Source organism: Homo sapiens, chromosome 12, assembly GCF_000001405.40.
Source record: "Homo sapiens chromosome 12, GRCh38.p14 Primary Assembly".
Taxonomy (NCBI): Eukaryota; Metazoa; Chordata; class Mammalia; order Primates; family Hominidae; genus Homo; species Homo sapiens.
The window spans coordinates 9,947,214-9,974,769 of record NC_000012.12 but is presented as its reverse complement, the minus strand read 5'-3'; the positions used below and the strand labels follow the sequence as shown (position 1 = coordinate 9,974,769).

At 41.9% G+C, this 27,556-nt stretch overlaps 1 protein-coding gene and 2 long non-coding RNA genes across 18 annotated transcripts in view; 1 reads left to right on the top strand and 2 right to left on the bottom strand.

Annotated features, from left to right (window-relative positions):
• CLEC12A (C-type lectin domain family 12 member A) overlaps positions 1 to 23,502 on the bottom strand; it is a 54,883-nt gene extending 31,381 nt beyond the window's left edge. For 5 of the 16 annotated variants that reach the window (XM_047428399.1, XM_047428400.1, NM_001207010.2 and 2 more), the window contains exons 1-2: positions 23,414 to 23,502; positions 3,083 to 3,193 (exon numbers count right to left, since the gene is read on the bottom strand). In XM_047428399.1, the coding sequence (XP_047284355.1) occupies positions 3,083 to 3,193; positions 23,414 to 23,423 (121 nt within the window). In that variant the 5' untranslated portion in view covers positions 23,424 to 23,502. Of the gene's footprint in view, positions 1 to 3,082; positions 3,362 to 5,499; positions 5,541 to 9,390; positions 9,433 to 23,413 lie in introns of those variants that run through there. The other 11 variants (XM_047428402.1, NM_138337.6, NM_201623.4 and 8 more) reach the window with 7 other exon arrangements.
• LOC124902874 (uncharacterized) lies at positions 17,773 to 23,113 on the bottom strand. Its single transcript, XR_007063207.1, has 2 exons — positions 21,733 to 23,113; positions 17,773 to 19,016 (listed from the first exon to the last, which is right to left on the bottom strand). It is a non-coding gene; the product is annotated as an uncharacterized LOC124902874 (long non-coding RNA).
• CLEC12A-AS1 (CLEC12A antisense RNA 1) lies at positions 21,433 to 26,633 on the top strand. Its single transcript, NR_135047.1, has 3 exons — positions 21,433 to 22,220; positions 22,691 to 23,868; positions 24,643 to 26,633. It is a non-coding gene; the product is annotated as a CLEC12A antisense RNA 1 (long non-coding RNA).

Below are 27,556 nucleotides of genomic sequence, written 5' to 3'. Positions count from 1 at the left end.
CGGGAAAATTATTTAACACCTTTTAACATCTCTGTGTCTGAGTTTCAATATGGTTAAAGCATGGGAGACAGAAAGACTGCAAAGTATCAGACACTAAATAATTTAATATTTATAATGCAATTAGAACAGAACTGGCACAGAGAAAACACTTGAAAATTGTATTTAAATATATATTTATATGTGTATTTAATGAGATGAGGCTGTCTGGAGAGAGAGACAATTTTAGAAGAAAAATAAATATTACTATTTTTGACATTTTAAGTTTAAAATGAGATTAGAACTCCTTATGGAAATGTGAAAGTGGCACATGTATTTTCTAGTCTTGAGATTCAGGGAAAGGTCATACAGAGATATTGGGGAGTCACTCTATTTAAAGTCAAACAACTGAATGAGGTAGATTAGAAGAGTGTACTGAGTGATGCAATAAAACGGGACCCAGGACAGGGCTTCAGAGTATTCCATCTTGTAGAGTTTCATCTAGGAGGAGGAATCAACAAAGAATGAGGAGAGGCAGGCATGGTGACAGGAGAAGCCATGAGGATGTGTCAGGAGGGATGTGCAAAGAAAGCATTTAGAGGACTGTTCAACTTTTTCAATGCTGCAGGGAAGTGAAGTAATGGAAGAGACATGTGACTATTGGGATGAAACAGGCAGGACATCAGTGACCTAAAGCTCAGTCTCTATGGCACCAAGGGGGCAGAAGCCTAATAGAGTTGGTTGAGAACAGAATGAGAGGTGAAGAACTGAGAGTCAGTGGCCAAAGAAAATGCTTTCAAAAGTTGAGTTGTGAAAGGAAACAAAGAAGTTAAATAATAATGGAAAGGCTTAAGTGGTCAAGCAAGGATTGTGTTTTGTTATAAAAGGAGTAGCAGAGTATATTGGTGAGTAGTAGAGTATGTTGGTGCACCAAAAAGGAAAAGCAGAGAAGGAAGAGAGAATAATGACACAGGAGAGAAAGGAAAAAATTACGGAAGTCTGTCTTTGAAAACGACACATGGACTGAAATTCAGAGCAAAATGAGGAGCCGTCCCTTCATAAGTACATACTTATCGTAAATACTATCTGGAAGGAAAGCAGAGTATCAGTAAGGACATGGTAGGATAGACATTTAAATAACAACAAAAAAAAGTGTAGATGGATGCTTTTTTCTTACCAGAGGAAAGGTGAGAGTAACTGGGGTTGAAAATTTGTGTATTTTTCACCAGCAATATTCAACTCTGGGGCAGACTGGGTGGATATTCGGGTTTAACCAGAACTGGAGTTGTTTTTATTTGTTTGTTTTTGGGGTTTTTGTCTTGTTTTGTTTTGATTTGTTTGAGGCAGGATCTTGCTGTGTCACCCAGACTGGAGTACACTCGCCTGATCTTAGCTTACTAGAGCCTCCAACTCCTGGACTCAAGTAATCCTCTTTCCTCAGCCTCCCAAGCAGCTGAGACTATGGGTGCCCAGTTAATTAAAAAAATTTTTTTTTTATAGACATGGCATATCTCTACTTTCCCCAGGCTGGTCTCAAACTTCTGGCCTCAAATAATCCTCCCATCTTGGCCTCTCAAAGTGCTAGGACTATGGGTATGAGCCACTGCACCTAGCCAGAGCTGGAGTTTTTAAGGAAAAATTAACACACATTGAAGAGGAGAAGTGTAAGAGACTAAGAGTAGACATTACATAATACAATGTTATATTACATAATGTAGATTCTAAGCTCGATAATGAGAAAATTAGATGAGATTAAGAACATGAAGAAGACATGGATTCAATATTTCCGTGAATTCAGGGAATTCTTGTGGTGGGAACTTAAGGTGGATTGGCAGGAAAAGAGGTGGGAAAGGGTGTGAGAGGACAAGTAAAGGGCAATTGTTGGTAATATTAGGCTCATGATATGCCCATTCTCTTTCAGTGTATAAAAGAAGAAATATAAACAAGGAAATAAAGACAGAAAATATTGTAAAATTCTTAAACCCTTCTTCTTTCTAAAAAAAAATTTCAGTATTAAAAAAGAAGCCAACAGAATTAATCTGCTATCCTTTCTCAAGATTTACAATGCTCATCATAAATGGATCCAAGATGTAACAGTGAAATTTCTGTTTATAGCAATGCTAGAATATTAAAGATGTTATATTCTGTGTGGGGAGAGGAGAGAGGACAACAACTTAAATAATATGTGAGAATTTTGGCACTCTTCTCTCCTTATTTTTCTGTTTCTATCACCCTTCTTTGTGTTCTCCACTATCACTGTTTAAGTTATTTTTAACTCAAATACACTGATTTAAACTATGGATTCGCTAGGGCAGATTTCACTCCCAAAAGGCTAGGAGCCAGAAGGCAAGAACCATACATAATAGGAAAACTATAGGATTCTGAGTAAGATGAAGAGTAGTTTTGTTTAAGTGAAAGTCAACACAGATGGACCACTTATTTCATGATTTTAATTTGAATTGAAAAATACAAAGTTACTTGATATAATGTGGTTTTGAATATTATGAATATATTATGTCTTCTGATATTTCTTTACCTCTTTTCTTCCTTTATTCCTTAATGATTCATTTCATTTAACTTAACATGTTTTATTTTTTAGTAAGTTAGTAAAAAATCTCCAAAAGAAGTAGGAGAAATTTTAGGGTGATTTATGCTTAGTTTGGTAGATAGTCAAATGAAATCCTATAAAGGTCTCTCTGTCTGACACAAAGCATTTTCTTATAAAAAAAAAAACACACACACACACACACATATGAAATCATGACTTTCCTGAACATGTTTCTTTTTCCATGGCTTCATCTCATAAAGAAATAAAATCTTCATACAACCCAATCATTTGAAAAATTCTGTCCCAATTATATTGAGTGTGATAATAAAAAATTTCAAAAATGTAAAAGATTGATTATTCAATGCAGAGATAAGTGTTTTTACAAAACCCTTTTTTCTAATCATTTTGTTCATACACTTTTTGTTCCTTTGCTTAAACATAAGAGACTTAATTGAAAATTTAAGTTGAATAGTAACTATATCACTAATATTGAAGATGCAAGTCTATAACCACTTCTATTATACAAACTTACAACACATCCATAACTCAAAATCTTACCTTTTTCCCCAAATTTGCCAATTTCTGGGATTTTTTCCATCTCACTGGAGTTCTGGAATTGAAGATCTGCATAAGTAACTTCTTCAGACATTGATGAATATGTAAAGAAATCTTGACAAAGTGTAAAAACACAAAAAGATGAGTGAGTTAACAGAGCTGAATGTTAAACAGGACCTATAATTTTAAACTTCTGTTTATAAACGGAAGCTTAAGCTTACAAGTTTAAACTTCTGTTTATAAACCTACTGTACCAATCACCCATATGTCTGCAAATGAGCCAAATCTCATCTGTGGCTTCAGTTAAGAACATTGAACTGTTGCAACAGATAACATCTTTCTTCCTCATATTTCTTCCTTTTTCTCAATTTCTATATATTTACCAACTACAGAAAGTAGTTTTTGAAATTGTGTTTGGATAACATCATCAGTGTCATGCAAGAGAACACAAATAACTAGCACCACATGGTGCAGACATAGTGTAGGATTTATTGGTGAAAAACTTTCAAGCAGAAAAATAACAGAAAAGATGCAGTTCTCAGACACTCACTAATCTGCAGCTGTGGCCTGGCATAGATATTCCTTTTGTATGATGATGAAGGTCCTGATAGAAGGGTTCTCTTCACTGGGAGACTGAACATACAGAGAGCACTCCCAAGGAGAATGAGACAGTTAGTGTCATTCCGTTGCCATGTTACATAGCTATAGGTTTGCCTAAGAGAGGTAGGGAATGCCTAGTTTCTCTAAATAACAATATATAGGTTGGTGCTAAAGTAATTCTGGTTTTTGCCATTAAAAGCAAAAGTAATTGTGGTTTTTGCCATTAAAAGTTTACAAAATTACTTTAGCGCCAACCTATATATTAAGGGATCTGATGCCCAGAAACCACACCAGAGAGTATGCATACTGATGGCCAAGGTCTGTATACTGAGGGCTCTGGAAACAGCTTTGCAGGCCAGGAAAACTATAATCAGCCTTGCTATCTCTCTACAGACTGACTCAACCATTTGATCTCCTCCTCAGCTAAGCTATCAAAAGTGGGAGGGAAATGAGTCTCCAAAGTCCAGATTTGTGTCTTATTAGTTTGACTCAATAGTCTTAGTATTTTTTATTTCACTTCTTGATCAAGAATGCAAGTGGAAGTGAGGGGGTGGAGAGGACTGTTTTTGAGCATGTTCTCTAATATTCGTTAGTAAATCTTACTTTAAAATTCTTCTTGACATTGCCACATGTAAATCATAAAATGGTTAGGTATTATTATTATACATATGAAAGAGAATGCATAAATATTTTTAAAAATCAATTAAAAACTAATTGCTTTATTATGTCAGGATAGACAGGAAAAACAAAATGCTCCCTTTATAAGAGCTACTAAAAATAAATAGGAAAATATTACAGATAGAAATTAACTAGATATTTGCATAACCAAAATGAACAAAAAAATTTTAAAACTATTGAAGAAAAGAAAAAAATAGAAAAACATGCTGTGGGATTAGAAGCGTCAATACTGTATAAAAAGAAACTAAATTCTCCTAAATGTATCAAAAATTCAATGTCAATTTAATTAAAACAACTGATTTTCTCCTGATAAAGAAAAAGCTATTGAATACATTTGAAAATATTACCATGAAAATATTGGCAGCCACATTTAAAGGAAAATATATTCAAAACATGATTACTTCATCCTAAGTACTTTACTAATGTTGCTTTTATCTTTACAACTCTCTAAACCAGGTGCTATTATTATCACCCTTATTTTACAGATGCGGAAGTGAGTTGCAAAGTGGTTAAGTTTGTATCCAACATCACACAGTTGGTGAGTGGTAGAGTTGAGACCATCAAAGTCTCTGGTTGCCTTGTTCAAATATGTGCACAGGCTATAAGGCCTCTCCTGGTGGGAAAGAGTAGCCCTCTATTTTTCCTAGGTGGATCAAATATTTGCATATAAATATTTGTTTATAAATATCTCTTTGTTTGTGAAAGGATGGAAACCGGCCACCACACAGGCAGAGTCCTGTTCTGTGTTCTATTGCTCTGCTGTCTCATGTGGAACGTTGTTTCATCAATCAACACTAGAAGATGAAGCGTATATGACGAACTGTAAAGGGAAACAAATGAAAAATCTCAAAGTCCTGTTTGCAAGGTACTCTATTTTGTTGAAAATATTTGAATAAGTATTACTTCATACAAAATCCTTGGTTTAGAGCCAGCTAAAACATTTATATCCACAAGAATAAGCTGAGCTCTGAGATGACTACATGGTTTGCCCTTCACAGCCTATATCAGTTTTTTAAAAATTTTGTTATTGATACAAAATAGTTGTATGTATTTTGGAGGTACATGTGATATTTTGAAACCTGTATACAATGTGTAATGACCAAATCAGGGTAATAAGAATATTCATTCCGTCAAACACTTACCTTTTCCTTCTGTTGGGAATAGTACATTTCTTCTCTTTTAGCTATTTTGAAATATACAATAAATTATTGTCAACTATAGTTTTCCCACTGTACTATCAAATACTAGAATTTGTTCCTTCTATCTAATTTTATTTTTGTACCCAACCAACTTATCTTTATCCCCCACCACCCCTTTCTAAGCCTCTGGTAACCACAATTCTACTCTCTGCTTCCATGAGATTCATTCTTTTAGCTCTCACATATGAGTGGAAACATGTGATATTTGTCTTTCTGTGCCTGGCTTATTTCAGTTAACATAATGACCTTCAGTTCCACTCCTGTTTCTGCAAATGACAGGATTTCATTTCCTTCTATGGCCAAATAATATTCCATTGTGTATATATACTATAGATACCTGCACTCCCATGTTTATTGCAGCACTATTTGCAATAGACAAGATATGAAATCAACCTATATCAATTTTCATTCTAGTTGAATACTAAGAGACAATCTGCAAATATAATTACAGATGTCTTCCAATATTAAACATAAGTGATACATTATCCATTACCTAAATTATATATTTTTTGTGGGTTGTTATTGTCAGGCCTCTGAGCCCAAGCTAAGCCATCATATGCCTGTGTATATGCCTATGACCTGCATGTACACATCCAGATGGCCGGTTCCTGCGTTAACTGATGACATTCCACCACAAAAGAAGTGAAAATGGCCTGTTCCTGCCTTAACTGATGACATTATCTTCTGAAATTCCTTCTCCTGGCTCATCTTGGCTCAAAAGCTCCCCTATTGAGCACCTTGTTACCCCCACTCCTGCCCGCCAGAGAACAACCCCCCTTTGATGTAATTTTCCTTTACCTACCCAAATCTTATAAAACAGCCCCACCCCATCTCCCTTCGCTGACTCTCTTTGCAGACTCAGCCCACCTGCACCCAGGTGAAATAAACAGCCTTGTTGCTCACACAAAGCCTGTTTTGTGGTCTCTTCACACGGATGCGAGTGAAATTTGGTGCTGTGACTCGGATCAGGGGACCTCCCTTGGGAGATCAATCCCCTGTCCTCCTGCTCTTTATTCCATGAGAAAGATCCACCTATGACCTCTGGTCCTCAGACCAACTAGCCCAAGGAACATCTCACCAATTTTAAATCCAGTAAGTGGCCTCTTTTTACTCTCTTCTCCAACCTCTCTCACTATCCCTCAACCTCTTTCTCCTTTCAATCTTGGCATCACCCTTCAATCTCTCTCTTAATTTCAGTTCCTTTCCTTTTCTGACAGAGATGAAGGAGACGCGTTTTATTCATAGACCCAAAACTCCGGCACCAGTCACGGAATTGGGAAGACAGTCTTCCCTTTGGAATCAGGCAGGGATGCCTGCCTGATTATTCACCCATGTTTCAGAGGTGTCTGACCATGTGGGGACACCTGCCTTGGTCCTTCACCCTTAGCGACAAGTACTGCTTTTCTTGGGAGCAAGAACCCCCAACCCCTTCTCTCCGTGTCTCTACTCCTTCTCTGCTTTTCTGGGGGGCAAGAACCCCACCGCTTTTCTCCATGTCTCTACCCCTTCTCCGCTTTTCTGGGGGGCAAGAACCCCCCAACCCCTTCTCCTTCACCCTTAGCGGCAAGTACCGCTCTTCTTGGGGGCAAGAACCCCCAACCCCTTCTCTCCATGTCTCTACTCTCTCTTCTCTCTGGGCTTGCCTCCTTCACTATGGGCAAGCTTCCGCCCTCCATTCCCCCTTCTTCTCCCTTAGCCTGTGCTCTTAAAAACCTAAAACCTCTTCAATTCACAGCTGACCTAAAACCTAAATGCCTTATTTTCTTCTGCAATGCCACTTGACCCCAATACAAACTCGACAGTAGTTCCACATAGCCAGAAAATGTCACTTTCCATTTTTCCATCCTACAAGATCTAAATAATTCTTGTTGTAAAATAGGCAAACGGTCTGAGGTGCCTGACGTCCAGGCATTCTTTTACACATTGGTCCCTCCCTAGTCTCTGTTCCCAATGCAACTCATCCCAAATCTTCCTTCTTTCCCTCCCGCCTGTCCCCTCAGTCCCAACCCCAAGCATCGCTGAGTCTTTCTAATCTTCCTTTTCTACAAACCCATGTGACCTCTCGCCTCCTCACCAGGCCGAGCTAGGTCCCAATTCTTCCTCAGCCTCCACTTCTCCACCCTGTAATCCTTTTATCACCTCCTCTCCTCACACCTGGCCCAGCTTACAGTTTCATTCCATGACTAGCCCTCCCCAACCTGTTCAGCAATTTCCTCTTAAAAAGGTGGCTGGAGCTAAAGGCATAGTCAAGGTTAATGTTCCTTTTTCTTTATCCCAAATCAGATAGCGTTTAGGCTCTTTTTCATCAAATATAATAACCCAGCCCAGTTCATGGCTCGTTTGGCAGCAACCCTGAGACGCTTTACAGCCCTAGATCCTAAAAGGTCAAAAGGCCGTCTTATTCTCAATATACATTTTATTACCCAATCTGCTCCCGACATTAAATAAAACTCCAAAAATTAAATTCCAGTCCTCAAACCCCACAACAGGACTTAATTAACCTCGCCTTCAAAGTGTACAATAATAAAGTAGAGGCAGCAAAGTAGCAACATATTTCTGAGTTGCAATTCCTTGCCTCCACTGTGAGACAAACCCCAGCCACATCTCCAGCACGCAAGAACTTCCAAACGCCTAAACCACAGTGGCCAGGCATTCCTCCAGGCCTGCCTCCCCCAGGAGCTTGCTAAAAGTGCCAGAAATCTGGCCACCTGGCCAGAGAATGCCCGCAGCCCAAGATTCCTCCTAAGCCATGTCCCATCTGTGCAAGACCCCACTGGAAATCAGACTGTCCATCTCACCGGCAGCCACTCCCATAGCCCCTGGAACTCTGCCCCAAGGCTCTCTGACTGACTCCTTCCCAGATCTTCTCGGCTTAACAACTGAAGACTGTCACTGCCCAATCACCTCAGAAGCCTACAGGACCATCACAGACACTCTAGGTAACTCTCACAGTGGAGGGTAAGCCCGTCCCCTTCTTAATCAATACGGAGGCTACCCACTCCACATTACCTTCTTTTCAAAGGCCTGTTTCCCTTGCCTTCATAACTGTTGTAAGTACTGATGGCCAGGCTTCTAAACCTCTTAAAACTCCCCAACTCTTGTGCCAACTTAGACAATACTCTTTTAAGCACTCCTTTTTAGTTATCCCCACCTGCCTAGTTCCCTTATTAGGCTGAGACACTTTAACTAAATTATCTGCTTCCCTAACTATTCCTAGGCTACAGCCACACCTCATTGCCACCTTTTCCCCCAGGTCAAAGCCTCCTTCACATCCTCCCCTTGTATCTCCCCACCTTAACCCACAAGTATAGGACACCTCTACTGCCTCCTTAGCGACTGATCCTGCACCCCTTACCATCCCATTAAAACCTAATCACCTTACCCCGCTCAATGCCAATATCCTATCCCACAGCACGCTTTAAAAGGATTACAGCCTATTATCACTCTCCTGCTACAGCATGGCCTTTTAAAGCCTATAAACTCCCCTTACAATTCCCCCATTTTACCTGTCCTAAAACCAGACAAGGCTTACAGGTTAGTTCAGGATCTGTGCCTTATCAACCAAATTGTTTTGCCTAACCACCCCATGGTGCCAAATCCATATACTCTCCTATCCTCAATATCTCCCTCCACAACCCATTATTCTGTTCTGGGTCTCAAACATGCTTTCTTTACTATTCCTTTGCACCCGTCATCCCAGCCTCTCTTCACTTTCACTTGGACTGACCCTGACACCCATCAGACTCAGCAAATTACCTAGGCTGTATTGCCGCAAGGCTTCACAGACAGCCCCCATTACTTCAGTCAAGCCCAAATTTCTTCCTCATCTCTTACCTATCTCAGCATAATTCTCATAAAAACACATGTGCTCTCCCTGCTGATCATGTCCGGCTAATTTCCCAAACCCCAATCCCTTCTACAAAACAACAACTCCTTTCCTTCCTAGGCATGGTTAGGGCAGTCAGAATTCTTACACAAGAGCTGGGACCGCACCCTGTAGCCTTTCTGTCCAAACAACTTGACCTTACCATTTTAGCCTAGCCCTCATGTCTGCATGCAGTGGCTGCCGCTGCTTTAATACTTTTAGAGGCCCAAAAAATCACAAACTATGCCCAACTCATTCTCTACGGTTCTCATAATTTCCAAAATCTATTTTCTTTCTCCCACCTGACGCATACACTTTCTGCTCCCTGGCTCCTTCAGCTACACTCCCTTTTTGTTAAGTCTCTGACAATTACCATTGTTCCTGGCCCAGACTTCAATCCAGCCTCCCACAGTATTCTGGATACCACACCTGACCCCTATGACTGTATCTCTCTGATTCACCTGACATTCACCCCTTTTCCTCATATTTCCTTCTTTCGTGTTCCTCACCCTGAACACACTTAGTTTATTCATAGTAGTTCCACCAGGCCTAATCGCCACACACCAGCAAAGGCAGGCTATGCTATAGTACAAGTCACCAGCCCACCTCTTAGAACCTCTCATTTCCTTTCCATCGTGGAAATCTATCCTCAAGGAAATAACTTCTGTTCCATCTACTATTCTACTCCTCCTCATAGATTATTCAGGCCCCCTCCTTTCCCTACACATCAAGCTCGAGGATTTGCCCCCACCCAGGACTGGCAACTCTTAACTCCCTCTCAGAGGGGATAGATAATCTTTGCTGGCAGGGGACCCTCCAATACTTTCACCCTGATGAAGTTCTATTCTTTACTTTTATACTCAATCTTATTCTCATTCCCATTCTTATGCCACCCTCTACCTCTCCCCAGCTATCTCCACCACACTATAAACATTACTCATTCTCTCCTAGCTGTTTCTAATCCCTCCTTAGCGAACAAACTCTAGCTTTGCATTTCCCTTTCTTCCAATGCCTACACAGCTGTCCCCACCTTACATGCAGACTAGGCAACATCTCCTGTCTCCTACACCTCCAAACTTCCTTTAACAGCCCTCACCTTTACCCTCCTGATGAACTCATTTACTTTCTAGACAGGTCCAGCTAGACCTCCCCAGACATTTCACGTCAGCAAGCTGCCGCCCTCCTCCACACTTACTTAAAAAACCTTTCTCCTTGTATCAACTCTACTCCCCCCGTATTTACCTCTCACAACACAAACTACTATTCCTGTGGCTGCTCCTTTATGTATCTCTCAGCAAAGACCCACTGGAATTCCCCTGGGTAACCTTTCACTTTGATGTTCCTTTACTCTTCATCTCCAAAGCCCTCTTGTTGTTTACTTATACCCAGCCCCATAAATAACAGTGAAAGGTAGCTCATAGACACTCAACATTTTCTCATACACCATGAAAATCGAACCTCCCCCTCTACGCAGTTACCCCACCAGTCCCCATTACAACCTCTGATGGCTGCTGCCCTAGCTGGATCCCCAGGAGTCTGGGTACAAGACACCCCTTTCAGCACTCCTTCTCATCTTTTTACTTTGCTTCTCCAGTTTTGCCTCGCACAAGGTCTCTTCTTCCTCTGTGGATCCTCTACCTCCATGTGTCTACCTGCTAATTGGACAGGTACATGCACACTAGTTTTCCTTACTCCTAAAATTCAATTTGCAAATAGGACCGAAGAGCTCCCTGTTCCCCTCATGACACCGACACGACAAAAAAGAGTTATTCCACTAATTCCCTTGCTTATCAGTTTAAGACTTTCTGCCTCCACTATTGCTCTCGGTACTGGAATAGGAGGCATTTCAACCTCTGTCACGACCTTCCATAGCCTCTCTAGTGTCTTCTCTGCTAGCATCACAGACATATCACAAACTTTATCAGTCCTCCAGGCCCAAGTTGACTCTTTAGCTGCAGTTGTCCTCCAAAACCGCTGAGGCCTTGACTTAGTCACTGCTGAAAAAGGAGGACTCTGTATATTCTTAAATGAAGAGTGTTGTTTCTACCTAAATCAATCTGGCCTGGTGTATGACAACATAAAAAACTCAAGGATAGAGCCCAAAAACTTGCCAACCAAGTAAGTAATTATGCTGAACCCCCTTGGACACTCTCTAATTAGATGTCCTAGGTCCTCCCAATTCTTAGTCCTTTAATACCTGTTTTTCTCCTTCTCTTATTCTGTTTAGTTTTTCAATTCATACAAAACCGTATCCAGGCCATCACGAATAATTCTAAATGACAAATGTTTCTTCTAGCAACTCCACAATATCACCCCTTAGCATGAAATCTTCCTTCAGCTTAATCTCTCCCACTCTAGGTTCCCACATCGCCCCTAATCCCGCTGGAAGCAGCCCTGAGAAATATCGCCCGTTATCTCTCCATACCAAGCCCCCAAAATTTTTGCCGTCCCAACACTTTACCACTATTTCATTTTTATTTTCTTATTAATATAAGGAGACAGGAATGTCAGGCCTCTGAGCCCAAGCTAAACCATCCTATCCCCTGTGACCTGCACATACACATCCAGATGGCCGGTTCCTGCCTTAACAGATGACATTCCACTACAAAAGAAGTGAAAATGGTCTGTTCCTGCCTTAACTGATGACATTATAAAATTCCTTCTCCTGGCTCATCCTGGCTCAAAAGCTCCCCCACTGAGCACCTTGTGGCCCCCACTCCTGTCCGCCAGAGAACAAGCCCCCTTTGACTGTAATTTCCCACTACCTACCCAAATCTTATAAAACAGCTCCACCCCTATCTCCCTTCGCTGACTCTCTTTTCGGACTCAGCCCACCTGCACCCAGGTGAAATAAACAGCCTTGTTGCTCACACAAAGCCTGTTTGGTGGTCTCTTCACACGGATGTGAGTGAAAGTTATAACGGAAAAAAGGGAAAGAAATGAAGACAGGTGAAGAAAAGTGCACAGGGATAAAAATTTGGAGACACACACCTTCAGAGTCACATAATTTAAAAGTTGAGAGACCACAGTGACAGTGATATACTCAGGTACCAAAAAGAAACACACACTTGGGATCCAAAAAAAAAAAAAAAAAAGAAAAAACCGGTTATACATTAAAAGGAAAATTTAAGAAGATAAAATAACAGGACAATTTACAAGATAGAGATAAGACCAAAGGAAACCATGAGGGATAGTGAAATACCCCAGGGCTAGCTACTGCCGGAAGCCATTACTACATTAGGCCTGAGAGAACATTGCTGGTAGCAATTAACTGAAGCAGCAGAAACTATAGCTGATGAAGGCTGCCTCCCTGGAGGTACACTCAGCGAGAACAACTCCATATCCATTTCCTAGTGCTGTAGGGAAGGATTCTCCCACCTTTAAATCTTTTGCCTATTCTTCCTATTAGCACAAACATACCTAGAGCTTCAGGACAATAGTGTCCAGGGATATTATACATGAGAGTCAGTCACCATCCTAGGGCACTGCAAAGGGATTAGAATGGTGAAGAGTAGATTTATTGAAATCATTTTCTGAACCATATGTAGGCCAGTTTTTATCATTTGGCTTGTCAATTGGTGTTTTGATATTTAATTCTTTTTTTTTAGGTTGTCTCATAATTTTTTATTAAATAACAGGCCTTATGTATTAAAAACAGAAATTTTAAATGATCTTCCTACCAAAAAGTTTTGTTTCTTTTTTTCTGGCAGTCACACAGAATATAAGCGGTAAACCTTGATTAATTGGAGCCCCTCAAATTTTGCCTTCTCAGTTGTTTTATACATTTTATCTAAATTTTATAATTATCTTTTTGTAGGTTTCTTTCATCTGATACAAGTTGCAATGCTATGACTAGGATTGGCTTTATTCTGGCTTTGTTCTCCAACAAACTAAAATTGGGAGGTTATATAGTGAGGAAGGAATGTAGCTATGTGCAGGCAGAAATGTAGCTGTGTGGGGAGTGTAAACCAAAAATGAAATTCTAAGGCCCCTCAACCATCTGAATGGACTCCCTCTTCAACCACAGCTCTTTGAAAATTTAACCTGAGAGATGGGTTCAGGCCATGACAGGAAGTGCGTGTCGAACACGCTTCATTATATCTCTCAGGCATTAATACTTAAGTCTCTCTCAAGTCTGCTGTCTGGAGGCTTCATTTGCATGATAAAACCTTGGTCTCTACAACCTCTTACCACAACCCAGACATTTCTTTTCTATTGATTCCAGACCTTTAGATAAACTCAACCAATTGCCAATCAGTAAATGTTTATAGTTGATTGAAGCCTCGTGTCTCCCTAAAATGTACAAAACCAATGTGTACCTGAACCACCTTGGGTGCATGTTCGCAGGGCCTCCTGAGGGCTGTGTCACGGGCATGGTCACTCATATTTGGCTCAGAATAAATCTCTTCAAATATTTTACAGAGTTTGATGCTACGTGGACAGGGGAAAAATAGAAATTAGGCAGAGGTAGGGAAAAAATCATGCTGGGTGAAGGATCTGCAGTCTCATTGCCTGGGTGTGGTGCTCTGATGAGTTTCAGTTCCTTGCCTGAAAGTCGGTTTTCTAAGCAAGAAACTCAGGAAAACAAACAAGTTTCAAGTTTTAAGACCAGACAGGGTCCATTTCTATGTTCCAAAGCAAAACAAACAAAAACAACTGTAAATATTAGTTCTATAAGATAACGGGGCCGGTTTCAGTCTCTCTTTTCTATTTATCACTTCCTCAATCATGGAGAATCTGGTCATTGATCCTTCTGGCTGCTTCATGCTGAGGACGTGTGAGGTGGAATAATGATAAGGAATGGAAATGTGGCACTATAATCAGAAGTAGTCATTGGAGCACTATGATCTGGGTACTTTTATTTCAGTTTTAGAACAACGTTTTAGGCCACATTGAACAAGGATGATAAATAATATAGATAAACCAATTTTAAAATACCAGAGAATTTGGAGTGGATCCCTTGGGGAATCCAAGAGAACAATCCTAAGCCTACCAAAAAGTATTCCTGATTCATTATATCTTATATGTGAAAAGCTGTGGGTTTAAAGAGAATAATAACTGAAAAATGCATATTCCTTTTACAGTTTCTTATCTAGGATCTTTGGCTGGGCTTTCAATATTAACTTAAGGCCATGTATAGGTTCACAAGAGCATGACTGTTTCCCCTGGAGGGATCCCACAGTGACTAGTTTTACTGAGTATGTTGAATTCATGGTTTAACACTGGCTAACTTGATAGACGAGTGGGTGGTCAGCAGCACCTTAAAAAGACTGACCTATTGTGGTTGCAGCTAGTCTTCAGCCTGATGGGATTTCCAGGTCTTCAGTATGATTCGATTCCCTGGTTTCAAACAGGGAAGAGGCAAGTCCATACAGAAATGAAGTCTGTTGGAGAGACTAGTTAATATATTCCCTAATTGTTTCATGTATGACATAGCTTCTGTTTCAGGGGAGGAAAAAATCCTCAAGCATCAGAGAGTCCAGGAAAACAGTCTCCAAGTAAACATTTTGAAAGGGGCTAAGAGCTAATCCATTTCTGGGAGCTACCAGTACCCTCAGCAGGGCAAGGGGCAAGACCTTTTCCCAGGTAAGATTTATCTCTTGGAAACTGAGGTCTCCTTGGAATATGCCAGAGGGAGCATTGATTGCCAAACTTTATTTTGTTCCATATCATTTCCAAGGTGGTATGACTACCTGCCCCGAGTCCATCCTGTTCGTCAGTGGGACCCCTGTAACCAAGGGACTTAGAGTCAAAAAAGACTTATAGTCAATTAAACATTCTAGGCCACACAAGAATAGAGGTGCCAGGGACTCATTACCATTAAAACTCAAAGCAACGAAAGAGCCAAAAACCAAAAAGTAAGGTTAATATTTCTTTCTTCTTTTTTTTTTTTTTTGAGACAGAGTTTCGCTCTTCTCTCCCAGGCTGGAGTGCAGTGGCACAATCTCTACTCACTGCAACCTCCGCCTCACTGGTTCAAGAGATTCTCCTGCCTCAGCCTCCAGAGTAGCTGGGGTTACAGGTGCCCGCCACCACGCCCAGCTAATTTTTTGTATTTTTAGTAGACATGGGGTTTCATCATGTTGGCCAGGCTGGTCTCAAACTCCTGACCTCATGTGATCCACCCGCCTCAGCCTCCCAAAGTGCAGGGATCACAGGAGTGAGCCACCACGCCCAGCCAAGTTAATATTTCTATCATTGTTCCTGGACCAAACTGAGGGTCAGACTGCTATTTCTTCCAGCCCAGTAACAAGATGCAGATGAACTGGGGAGGAAGAGTTTTTATTTCTTTAACAAGTTATAGGGAGAAGGCCTGGAAAATATTGCCAGACCAACTCAAAATTACAAAGTCTTCCAGAGCTTATTACCTTCTAAGTTATATGTCTGTGTGTAAGTGCATTCATCTAAAAACATGAGTGATTAACTTCTTGTAATCTATAACTGAGATCTGAGTTCTGAAGACCTTCCTCTGGAGGCTTAGTAAATTTACTTAATCTATATGGGTCCAGGTGCTGGGGTGATTACCCTATCTTGTCTCCTGCTAAATCATGGAGGTTTGGGAACTTCCTTGAGATCTCCAATAAACTTGTCTGTGGAAGCCTGGGAAGTTTCTTCAGACTGCCGGTAAAACTTGTTTAATCCTAATCTGGTCCTGTTAAGAATTCCTTCATTATCTTGTCATGGGTCCAAGCCCCAGGAAAGTCCTAGGCAAAACTCGTGGTGGGCTTTTGTTACAATCCAGAGTTTGTATAAGGCCACTGGCTTTTTTACCTTTTAACATTTAACTTAACCACTCAGTCAGTACTGAAACAGTTGTTATGGAGGCCTGCATTAGTGACCTGGCCTGCCACATCATTATAAAGCCAGTCCCCCGTGGCTTACATTTGAAGCATATCTGTTGCTTCATCTGGAGTGCTCCACTTGGCATTTATAGGTGGAGTGGGACAATTCTCCTTCTCAGAGTAAATAGTTCTCACAGTGTTTTATCCAGTCCACCAAGTAGGCTGTTCTTTTGGGAATAACCTCCTGTGTGCCCGGATTATATGTACCCATCTGCAACTGTTCAATTGTGAGCCGTGGGTTCTGTATCAACCGGATCTTCCACTCTGCAGCATTTAAAACCAAAGACATTGTGCCTAAAGTAATTACTCTCACAATTTATTTTAGTAAAGGTTCAGGAAGCTAATGATACTGATTTGCAAAATAGAACAATTCCTTCACATTATACCCTCTAGTTTCAGAAGTCACTTTAATTCACTCCTTCCCCACATTGACTACCTTCCAGGAAACCACAGATCTCAGAGGTACTTTCTGGTTTCCTGGCATAATTTTCTTCTTCATGAGCAGCCTTGAGGCTAGTGATCTGAGTTCAGACAGACCCACATCTAGGCTTGGTTTGGCCTCAAAGCCTGACCCAATATTCTCCTACTTTAATTTTAGCTATTACAGATGTGAAAGGAAAATAAATCTTGGGGTCCCCAAATCACTAAGCCAAAGAGAGAAGTCAAGCTGGGAATTGTGTCAGGCAAACCTGGCTCCCATTTTATTCGATTGAATTTCACCCTGGCAATGTAAATTGATAGCTTATCTTCACAGGTATGGGACAAAGGATAGAACTTGAAGTCAACCCTCTGCTCATCTGAAACAAATGCATATCTGATTGCTTCCTCTGCCCTTTCGTTTGTATAAAAATGCAGATTCACTGATCTAGACTGAGGCATAAGTGACTATTTCTTTACCCCACTCTCACATGTAATTGTGTATTTAGTGAAAGTCTGATCAAAATCTCAAAAGAATACAACCATTTGTCTCTTATCTACCCACACCTTTTTTTTGTTTTTTTGTTTTTTTTTTTTTTGAGATGAAGTCTCACTCTGTCATCACCCAGGCTGGAATGCAGTGGCACGATTTTGGCTCACTGCAACCTCTGTCTCCCGAGTTCAAGTGATTCTCCTGCCTCAGCCTCCTGAGTAGCTGGGATTACAGCCGTGCACCACCACACCCAGCTAATTTTTGTATTTTTAGTAGAGATGGGGTTTGTCCATGTTGGTCAGGCTAGTCTCAAACTCCTGACCTCAGGTGATCTGCCCACCTTGGCCTCCCAAATTACTGGGATTACAGGCATGAGCCACCGCCCTACCCACACCTTTTTAAAATTTCTTCCTCTTTCCCCAATATCTGCCCTTTCCCCTTTAAATATTGAAGCCCTCAAAAGCATCTTTGGAGAAAGGCACAGACTTGTGTTTCAGGCACATATCCCTACCCTTGGCAAAATAAACTTTGAAATTAATTGAGACCTACCTCAGATACATTTTGGTTTATATCGATAACAAAAACCAAGGGATTGAAAATTTTGCTTTTTTAAAAATTAGTTTTTATTTCCTTATGCATCCAGTGAACCAACTTCTGAGGTGATGAATCCATATCTAAATTCCACTGGTAACTTATACTTTTAATAACTGAATGCAGCACAGCACAGATGTATCTCCATACCATGGATGACCAGGTTGCCATAGGTCAAAGATTAATCTAATAACAGGTGTACTGCAGTTTTCTTCCAAAACATAATGTTTCTCTCTCCAGCTCCCCATTTCCATGAAAGGCAAATCACAGTAGGACCAATTTATTTGCAAAATCTGTTTTAATCTTATTATAGTTTGCCTGATTATTTGCATAAACTGAAGCAAGAATTATTGTTCATATAGGCTTTTTTAAATTGGCTTTGCTGGAACTTTTCATAAGGAATCTCAGATTTGATTTTTAAAGGCCTCTCGAGCACAACCAATAATTGATCTGTGCTTGCAGATACCTGTATGAATTGGGTGAATTCCTCTTTTCTTGAGGTCCCAAAACAACTTGAGTTTTCTGGGCCTGAGAACATTCATGTTTCTCATCTATAAAATGTTAATATCTGATAGACAGCCCAGGATTTCTTGCTTCCTAGGTTTCCATTAAAATTTAGGATTACTAAGAATAAGAATTCCAGCAAATTGTATGATTCCATGTACAATGTGCCAAAGAAGATGTGTTCTTATTGATTAAAGAAATAATTTTGTTTAACTCAGAAGTTATCTAAAGGTTAATTCAAATTATAGACTTAGGTTGTTTATGAAACAGGGTAGAAAGGATCCAGTAACTAGGGGAGAGAGATATAGATTAGTCCCCTGGGTTAGAACAAGGTTTTCTTAAAATATTGATTGGATGAGAGGTTTTGATTTTGACTCTATAATCTGTTACTTTTTGAATACTTCTCAGATCTATATCTCCAAAGTGCAGCTTTCTTGTGTTTTGTTGCTGTCAGCTTGTCTCCCCTTGAAGGAACCTGAAATGAAACTATCTCCTTCAACTTTGTCAGTTCTTGTATCTTTTTTTTCCCTCTTGCCTTAACTGCTGTCATGGTCTGATGCTGAAATATTTATTTTAAAATTCTAGAGAAGCAACGTTTTCCTCCAGTATAGCTTGATTCTGTCCTCTTGGCTTTTCTTGATATGTCTACATCATTTATCAGGTTTGATTTTCAGGTTTTCGAGATGGGACTCTGATAGGAGAAGCAATCACACTGCAGGAGGTTTTTCTTTGCCTTTTGGTAACTGACCTGAGAAACAAATTTTACATTTTATCAAAATAATTTCTATGTCATTGTTATTGGGTTTTTGATTGCTTAGGAAAACTGAGATTTAAAGGAATTAAGGTTTTTACATCATTTAACTTTCTGTATTGAAACCCTTTCATAATTGGAAATGACCCACACATCTCATGAGCATCCAAAATAACTTCAAGATATTAAATTACACAAAAAGTTCACTTAGAGCATTTATGCCATTTATATTTCATTCACTTTTTTAGCAATTATCTATATTACTTATGAGAAAAGAGATATCAAAGCTATTCATTATTTCCTTGTTAACCATTTTTATAACTTGTATATATTAGATGTTCACCTAAGTAAGAAACATAAAGTTGGCTGGGCATGATTGCTTACACCTGTAATCCCAGCACTTTGGGAGGCTGAGGCAGGAGGATCATGAGGTCAGGAGATCAAGACCATCCTGGCTAACATGGTGAAACCTCTTCTCTACTAAAAAATACAAAAAATTAGCCGGGCGTGGTGGCGGGCGCCTGTGGTCCCAGCTACTCAGGAGGCTGAGGCAGGAGAATGGCGTGAACCCGGGAGGCAGAGCTTGCAGTGAGCCGAGATCGGGCCACTGCACTCCAGCCTGGGCGACAGAGTGAGACTCCGTTTTTAAAAAAAAGAAACATAAAGTAAAATACATGGATACTTGCACCAATAATGCAAAAGTTTCAGCTATTTTTATTAACCTAACGACATTAAATTAGTCTTATTTATCAAAAAATCACACAAAGATAATTTTGTTCTTGGCTGGGTTTATAGTCTTATAATCTCTTTGTCAAACCCTGACACCTTTAAATATCTAGCAGAGACAAATGTAAAACCCAAACAAAAAAAGTATGCTGACAATTCCAAAGGCATTTCTATTTTTATTTTACAAATGATCTAAAAGCTCTCTTGTTTATTAAAGATTTACTTAAGTCATGTAAACTTGAAAAATGCTTAGACTCATTTACTTAATTTATGAACGCTTTTTAATTTATAAGCCAATTTGCTACCCTCTAAAAACAACACGTAACATCTAGACACATATACCTACATACACACAAAGATCCAATAGCTTTTACCTTTAAATTCCAGCCATGAGATAGCAATGCAAACTCACTGGTTTATGAACATGTTCACATGGTTGAACTTTATTTGTTCTGATAGGTAATCCAATAAAGGTTGTGAAACAAAATTTTGAATAAAGCAGTTTCCATGATAGTTTGATTATTTTTTTTTTTGAGACAGGATCTCCGTCACCCAGGCTGGAAGTGCAGTGGTGTGATCAAGGCTCACTGCAGCCTCAACCTCCCAGGCTCAGGTAATCCTCCCACCTCAGCCTCCTGAGTAGCTGGGACTACAGGTATGCACCATTACACCCAGCTAATATTTGTATTTTTTGTAGAGACAGGGTTTCACCATGTTGCCCAGGCTGGTCTCGAACTCCTGGGCTCAAGTATCTGCCCACCTCAGTTTCTTGCGCCCAGCTGACAGTTTGATTTTTTTTTTTTTTTTTTTTTTTTTTTTATTGATAATTCTTGGGTGTTTCTCACAGAGGGGATTTGGCAGGGTCATGGGACAATAGTGGAGGGAAGGTCAGCAGATAAACAAGTGAACAAAGGTCTCTGGTTTTCCTAGGCAGAGGACCCTGCGGCCTTCCGCAGTGTTTGTGTCCCTGATTACTTGAGATTAGGGATTGGTGATGACTCTTAACGAGCATGCTGCCTTCAAGCATCTGTTTAACAAAGCACATCTTGCACCGCCCTTAATCCATTTAACCCTGAGTGGACACAGCACATGTTTCAGAGAGCACAGGGTTGGGGGTAAGGTCACAGATCAACAGGATCCCAAGGCAGAAGAATCTTTCTTAGTGCAGAACAAAATGAAAAGTCTCCCATGTCTACTTCTTTCTACACAGACACGGCAACCATCCCATTTCTCAATCTTTTCCCCACCTTTCCCGCCTTTCTATTCCACAAAGCCGCCATTGTCATCCTGGCCCGTTCTCAATGAGCTGCTGGGCACACCTCCCAGACGGGGTGGTGGCCGGGCAGAGGGGCTCCTCACTTCCCAGTAGGGGCGGCCGGGCAGAGGCGCCCCTCACCTCCCGGACGGGGCGGCTGGCCGGGCAGGGGGCTGACCCCCCCACCTCCCTCCCGGACGGGGCGGCTGGCCAGGCAGAGGGGCTCCTCACTTCCCAGTAGGGGGCGGCCGGGCAGAGGCGCCCCTCACCTCCCGGACGGGGCGGCTGGCTGGGCGGGGGGGCTGACCCCCCCCACCTCCCTCCCGGACGGGGCGGCTGGCCAGGCGGGGGGCTGACCCCCCCACCTCCCTCCCGGACGGGGCGGCTGGCCAGGCGGGGGGCTGACCCCCCCACCTCCCTCCCGGACGGGGCAGCTGGCTGGGCGGGGGGGCTGACCCCCCATCTCCGTCCCAGACGGGGTGGCTGGCCGGGCTGAGGGGCTCCTCACTTCCCAGTAGGGGGGGGCGGGCAGAGGCGCCCCTCACCTCCTGGACGGGGCGGCTGGCCGGGCAGGGGGCTGACCCCCCCACCTCCCTCCCGGACGGCATGGCTGGCCAGGCGGGGGGCTGACCCCCCACCTCCCTCCCGGATGGGGCGGCTGGCCGGGCGGAGGGCTAACCCCCCCCACCTCCCTCCCGGACGGGGTGGCTGCTGGGCGGAGACGCTCCTCACTTCCCAGATGGGGTGGCTGCCGGGCGGAGAGGCTCCTCACTTCTCAGACGGGGCGGCTGCCGGGCGGAGGGGCTCCTCACTTCTCAGACGGGGTGGTTGCCAGGCAGAGGGTCTCCTCACTTCTCAGACGGGGCGGCCGGGCAGAGACGCTCCTCACCTCCCAGACGGGGTCTCGGCCGGGCAGAGGCGCTCCTCACATCCCAGATGGGGCGGCGGGGCAGAGGCGCTCCCCACATCTCAGACGATGGGCGGCCGGGCAGAGACGCTCCTCACTTCCTAGATGTGATGGCGGCTGGGAAGAGGCGCTCCTCACTTCCTAGATGGGATGGCGGCCGGGCGGAGACGCTCCTCACTTTCCAGACTGGGCAGCCAGGCAGAGGGGCTCCTCACATCCCAGACGATGGGTGGCCAGGCGGAGACACTCCTCACTTCCCAGACGGGGTGGCGGCCGGGCAGAGGCTGCAATCTCGGCACTTTGGGAGGCCAAGGCAGGTTGCTGGGAGGTGTAGGTTGTAGTGAGCCGAGATCACGCCACTGCACTCCAGCCTGGGCACCATTGAGCACTGAGTGAACGAGACTCCGTCTGCAATCCCGGCACCTCGGGAGGCCAAGGCTGGCGGATCACTCGCGGTTAGGGGCTGGAGACCGGCCCGGCCAACACAGCGAAACCCCGTCTCCACCAAAACCAGTCAGGCGTGGTGGTGCGTGCCTGCAATCGCAGGCACTCGGCAGGCTGAGGCAGGAGAATCAGGCAGGGAGGTTGCAGTGAGCCGAGATGGCAGCAGTACAGTCCAGCTTCGGCTCCACATGAGAGGGAGACCGTGGGGAGAGGGAGAGGGAGACGGAGAGGGAGAGGGAGAGGGAGACGGAGAGGGAGAGGGAGAGGGAGACGGAGAGGGAGAGGGAGAGGGAGAGGGAGAGCGCTCACATCCTGTTTTTTTTTTTTTCCTTGAGACAGGGTCTGACAGTTTGATTTTTAAAGGCCAAATCTCTCCAGACTCCAAAGAACTCTGTAGCCAAACAGCAGCACATACTAATCAGGCCTGCCTGTCCTTAGAGCAGCAGCATAGAAGCCTGGAGACATGGACTTCCATCCCATATTCACATTCAACAGCAAAATAAATCCAAATATAAGGCAGTGCTACAATTCAAAGACTGTCTGAGATCAGATGAGATTGGGCATGTTCAGCGTGATACGGGTAGAGATGTTCCCTCACTCCACTGGCCCACAGCCACATGCAGACCAACCCTGAAGAATACACCCAAGCGGTCTGCACTCAGATCAAACCCTGATCTCCCACAACTACATCAACACACAAACAACCACCAGAATACAATCTAACTGCTGCAACAATAAGCAAGTCCCAAGAGAGTCCAAACTGAAACAGTTGAGTTGCTTTCTCCCTGTTTGTTGGGCTAGTTCAATCTGCAAATGGAGATTCCTTCGGAATTTCTCAAATTGAGAAAAGCAGATCCTGCTGTCTGGACCCACAAATGACACTCACTTATCCAGACACATACTCAATTACTAACAAGCCCCAAGAGTGTCTGAACTGGAACAGTCAGGGTGCTTCCTCTCTCCGTCAGTTGGCCTTGCTGAACTTGCCAATGGAAATTCCTTCAGAATTTCTCAAATTGAGAGGAGCCATTCCCACTGTCGGTATCCACAAAAGACACTCACCTATCCACATGCAGAAGTCAAATTTGAAAGGCTGTTCTTCCTAGGCAATCAGAAATGTGGTTGGGGCTGGCAGCAGCAATGCTAAATAGAAAGACTAAAACCCACATCCTGCCTAAAACACATAGGCTGCTGCTTAGGGTTGCGGAAATTCTCCCAACTGGTGACAGCCAAGCCAAGAGCAATGTCTTCCTGATGAGGGAACCAAAATCTGTTACTGAAATGCCAGAGGTTCAGCCTAGGTCCCGTTACTCATTGCACAGAATGCCAATCACTGAGGCAAGTATTTCCAGGGGAGATGACTTTATTCAGTTGCTGCAGCTGAGAAGAACTGCAGATCAGTCTCAAATTCATCTCCCCAAGTGACTGAAATTGGGGGTTTACATAGCAGAGGAGGGATGTAGCTACGTGCAGGAAATAATGTAGCTATGTGTGGGAAAACAGAATTTGAATTTCAGGTAAAAATGACTTATTTTTAATGTAAGTATTGCTCATCAATATTTGTATTTGCTGTCTCTGCAATTATCTGTGGTCGATTGAAATTCAAATTTAACTGGAAATCTTGTGTCTTAATTTGTTAATATGGCCAGCATATCCATAAGCCCATTGGAGTGGATTGGCTGAAAAAGATGAAGACAAATTTGTACAGGCAGCACACATTCTTTTAATGAGAAGAGTGACTTAGTCTCACCACCCACCCTAAAGTACACTCTCCCCACTCTTCTACATACCTTGTCAGTCAACCTATTCACCACCCAATCCCATGTTTTTCACAGCATTTATCAAGTATTTCGGTGCCCGGTTAATATTTTCCAGATGGTTGAGAGGCATCAGGATATTCATTATGTTTCTTTTATGGACTAATTGCCTGCTACTCTAAGTCAAGTCACAGAAAGCTTATGGACTGAAGCAAGATCGCAGCTACTAAGGTTTCTGGAAAGTAACTTTGCTAGTAAAAGAAGCTTCATAATGCCTTCGATGGTTATTTATGTTGTAGCTTGTGTCAGAATGTCCTTCCTTTTTAAGGCTGAATAATATTCCATTGTATGTATATATGACATATTTTTATTCCACCCATTGATGGACTCTAGGGTTGCTGTAACCTGTTGTTAGCACAAAGTTCTAAATTCAGACTGCCGTAACAACAATAACAAAAAAACTGAAATATATGCACTTATACACCAAAATGCTAGGTCTAGTTGTCACTTTCTCTGCCTCTTTAAATTTTTCAGGGCAACAGGAGATTTGATGGGGAATGAACACCCCACAGCTCTGTGCAGGAGTGCCTGGAAGTGAGGCCAGTCAAGGGAATGCTGCCAGACAACCAACTCAGCTTCAGACCATCTTCAGATCGTAACCCACCAGGGACTGTGGGCTTTGCCAGACCACATTTTTGGTTACTGCAACTCAAGTTGGCTTCTAAATCTCAAAAAATGTGACAATGATACAGATTTTTTTATCTACTTTTGTCTAAAACATTTAAATACTCATTCTGAAGTAACTCATCTCAAAATCCAATGCTAGAAAAATGGAAATAATTACAGGCAGATGCAATGATTTAAAGGTTTAAAAGAAGCTGTCCATTCTAAAGAGTCAGAGGAAACCTTTCCTTATGAAATGGTTAATGAAATAAATAGGAAAAAAAAATCCAACACAATCACGAGGTTCCAGAAAACATTGTATATTTATTTAAAAAGTAATTTTGTATGAATGAAATATTTCTTAAGGTTCTGCCTTTCTTTCCTTCCACTCAACAGGAAACAAAATTACTGGATTTATGGTCAAGGAAAATCACTAACCCACAGCCCTCAGATGCACTCATGAAAATGGGAAGAATGCATACACAGGGATCAGAGAACAGAGAAACAGGTGAATCTTGTGGTTGGAAAGAAACGCACTTTTGTATGTACACACAGAATTAACTTTACTTTTCCACTAAGCTCTCTCTGAGACTTAGAAATCCCTACATCTGGGTAGGCTGGAGTCAATCCCAAGGCTTTTATGGTTCCTTGAAGTAAAAAGAGCAGTCTCATGTCAGAAATTAATAGGTCCAGTCTAGCACAGTATTGAAACTCCAAACTTCAATTTAAACTCTACTTGGAAGCCTGCAGAAGAGGAGGCAGGCGGTTTTGCTGCCTCTTTTTTTCCCTAGCATCATCAAATCCTCTATTCATTGGCTGCTGTTTCTTAAACATTTCATGGGAAAGAGAAATAGAAGCACAGATATCTGCTGTTAATGGTTCTTTCTCTTACCAAGTGCTGTTGGGGGTTTTTCAGAAGTCACATCATATGACTGAAACTTATCTCCTGTCTGATTTCTCCTCAACTTTTGGGATTCTACAGATTCTCACCATTAGGATTTCAGTGTCTGGCAGTCCTCTGGGAAACTACTTTTTAAAAATTATGGTAAAATACACATAACAAAATTTTTCATCTTAACCATTTTTAAGTGTAAATTTCAGTAGTAAGTACATTACATTGTTTTGCAATCAATCTCCAGAACTATTTTCATCTTGCAAAGCTAAAACTCTGTATCTGTCAAACAATGACTCCCCATTTCCTCTTTCCCCCATCACTTAGCCACCACCATTCTACTTTCTGTTTCTATCAGCTTAAGTCTTCTAAGTAACTCATGTAAGTGAAATCATACAGTACTTGTCCTTTTGCGACTGGCTTATTCCGCATAGCATAAAGCCTTCAATGTTTATTTATGTTGTAGCTTGTGTCAGAATGTCCTTCCTTTTTAAAGCTGAATAATATTCCATTGTATGTATATACCACATTTTTTTAGTCCACCCATCGATGGACACCAGGGTTGCTTTAACCTGTTGACTTGTGAATAACGCTGCTATGAATATGGCTGTATAAATCTCTTGGAGATAACCTGCTTTAATTATTTTGGCTATATATCCAGAAGCAAAAGTGCCAGGTTATAATTTAATGTTTAATTTGGCGGGGGGAACCACCATATTGTTGTCTGTAGTGGTTGCATTATTTTACATTGCCATGAAAATTTCACTAGGGTTGCAATTTATCCATATCCCTATAGTATTTGTTATTTTCTGGGTTTTTTTTTTTCCACAGGAGCCATCTTAATGGATGTGAGGTGATCTCTTAATATAGTTTTGATTTTAATTTCTCAAATGATTAGTGATATTGAATGTCTTTTCATATGTTTGCTGGACATTTGTTTATGTTTTATGAAGAAGTATCTATTCAAGTCATTTGACCAGTTTTAAATCAAGTTATTTGTTCTTTCATTTGTTTGTTTTCTGCTGCCCTATAGGAATTTGTGATATATTGTGGATTCTAATTCCTTATGAGATATGTGATTTCCAAACATTTTCTCCCACTTTGTAGGTTGTCATTTCACTCTGTGGATTATGCTCTTCGATGCACAGAAGTTTTAAATTTTAATGTAGTCCATTTTGCCTATATGGGTGGTATTGGTACCACTTCCTTTTTTTATATCTTGCAATGAGTAAACAACCTCCACACACACACACACACACACACACACACACTCACTCTCTTAAAAAAATATTTTGGTGGCCAGGCACGGTGGCTCACACCTGTAATCCCAGCACTTTGGGATGCTGAGGCTGGTGGATCATGAGGTCAGGGGTTCGAGACCAGCCTGGACAACATGGTGAAACCCCATCTTTACTAAAAACACAAGAAATTAGCTGGGCGTAGTGGTGGGCGCCTGTTATCCCAGCTACTCAGGAGGCTGAGGCAGGAGAATCGCTTGAATCCATGAGGCCGAGGTTGCAGTGAGCAGAGATCACACCACTGTACTCCAGCCCAGGCAACAGAGTGAGAATCCATCTCAAAAAATATATATATTTTGGCAATAAGACTGTTTTTGGTTATGTATCCAAATCCATTCTCTTCTTCTATATTTCAGGTAGAATCCTAATTTTGTCAGTGGAGAGCGAGTGTGTATGAAATTGTCTATATCTATATAATCTATATCTATATATCTGTCCCTAGTTCCTGTGCAGAGCTTCTAAAAATGGAATTTCCTGAACAGTAGGGGTGCTTAGGGACATCTTTTATTATTTGGTTTTTAACCTTGGTTCCTAACACAGAGTGCCTAACACCTTTGTAATTGCCAGAGTGATAGGAGCATCTGACACAGAGCTC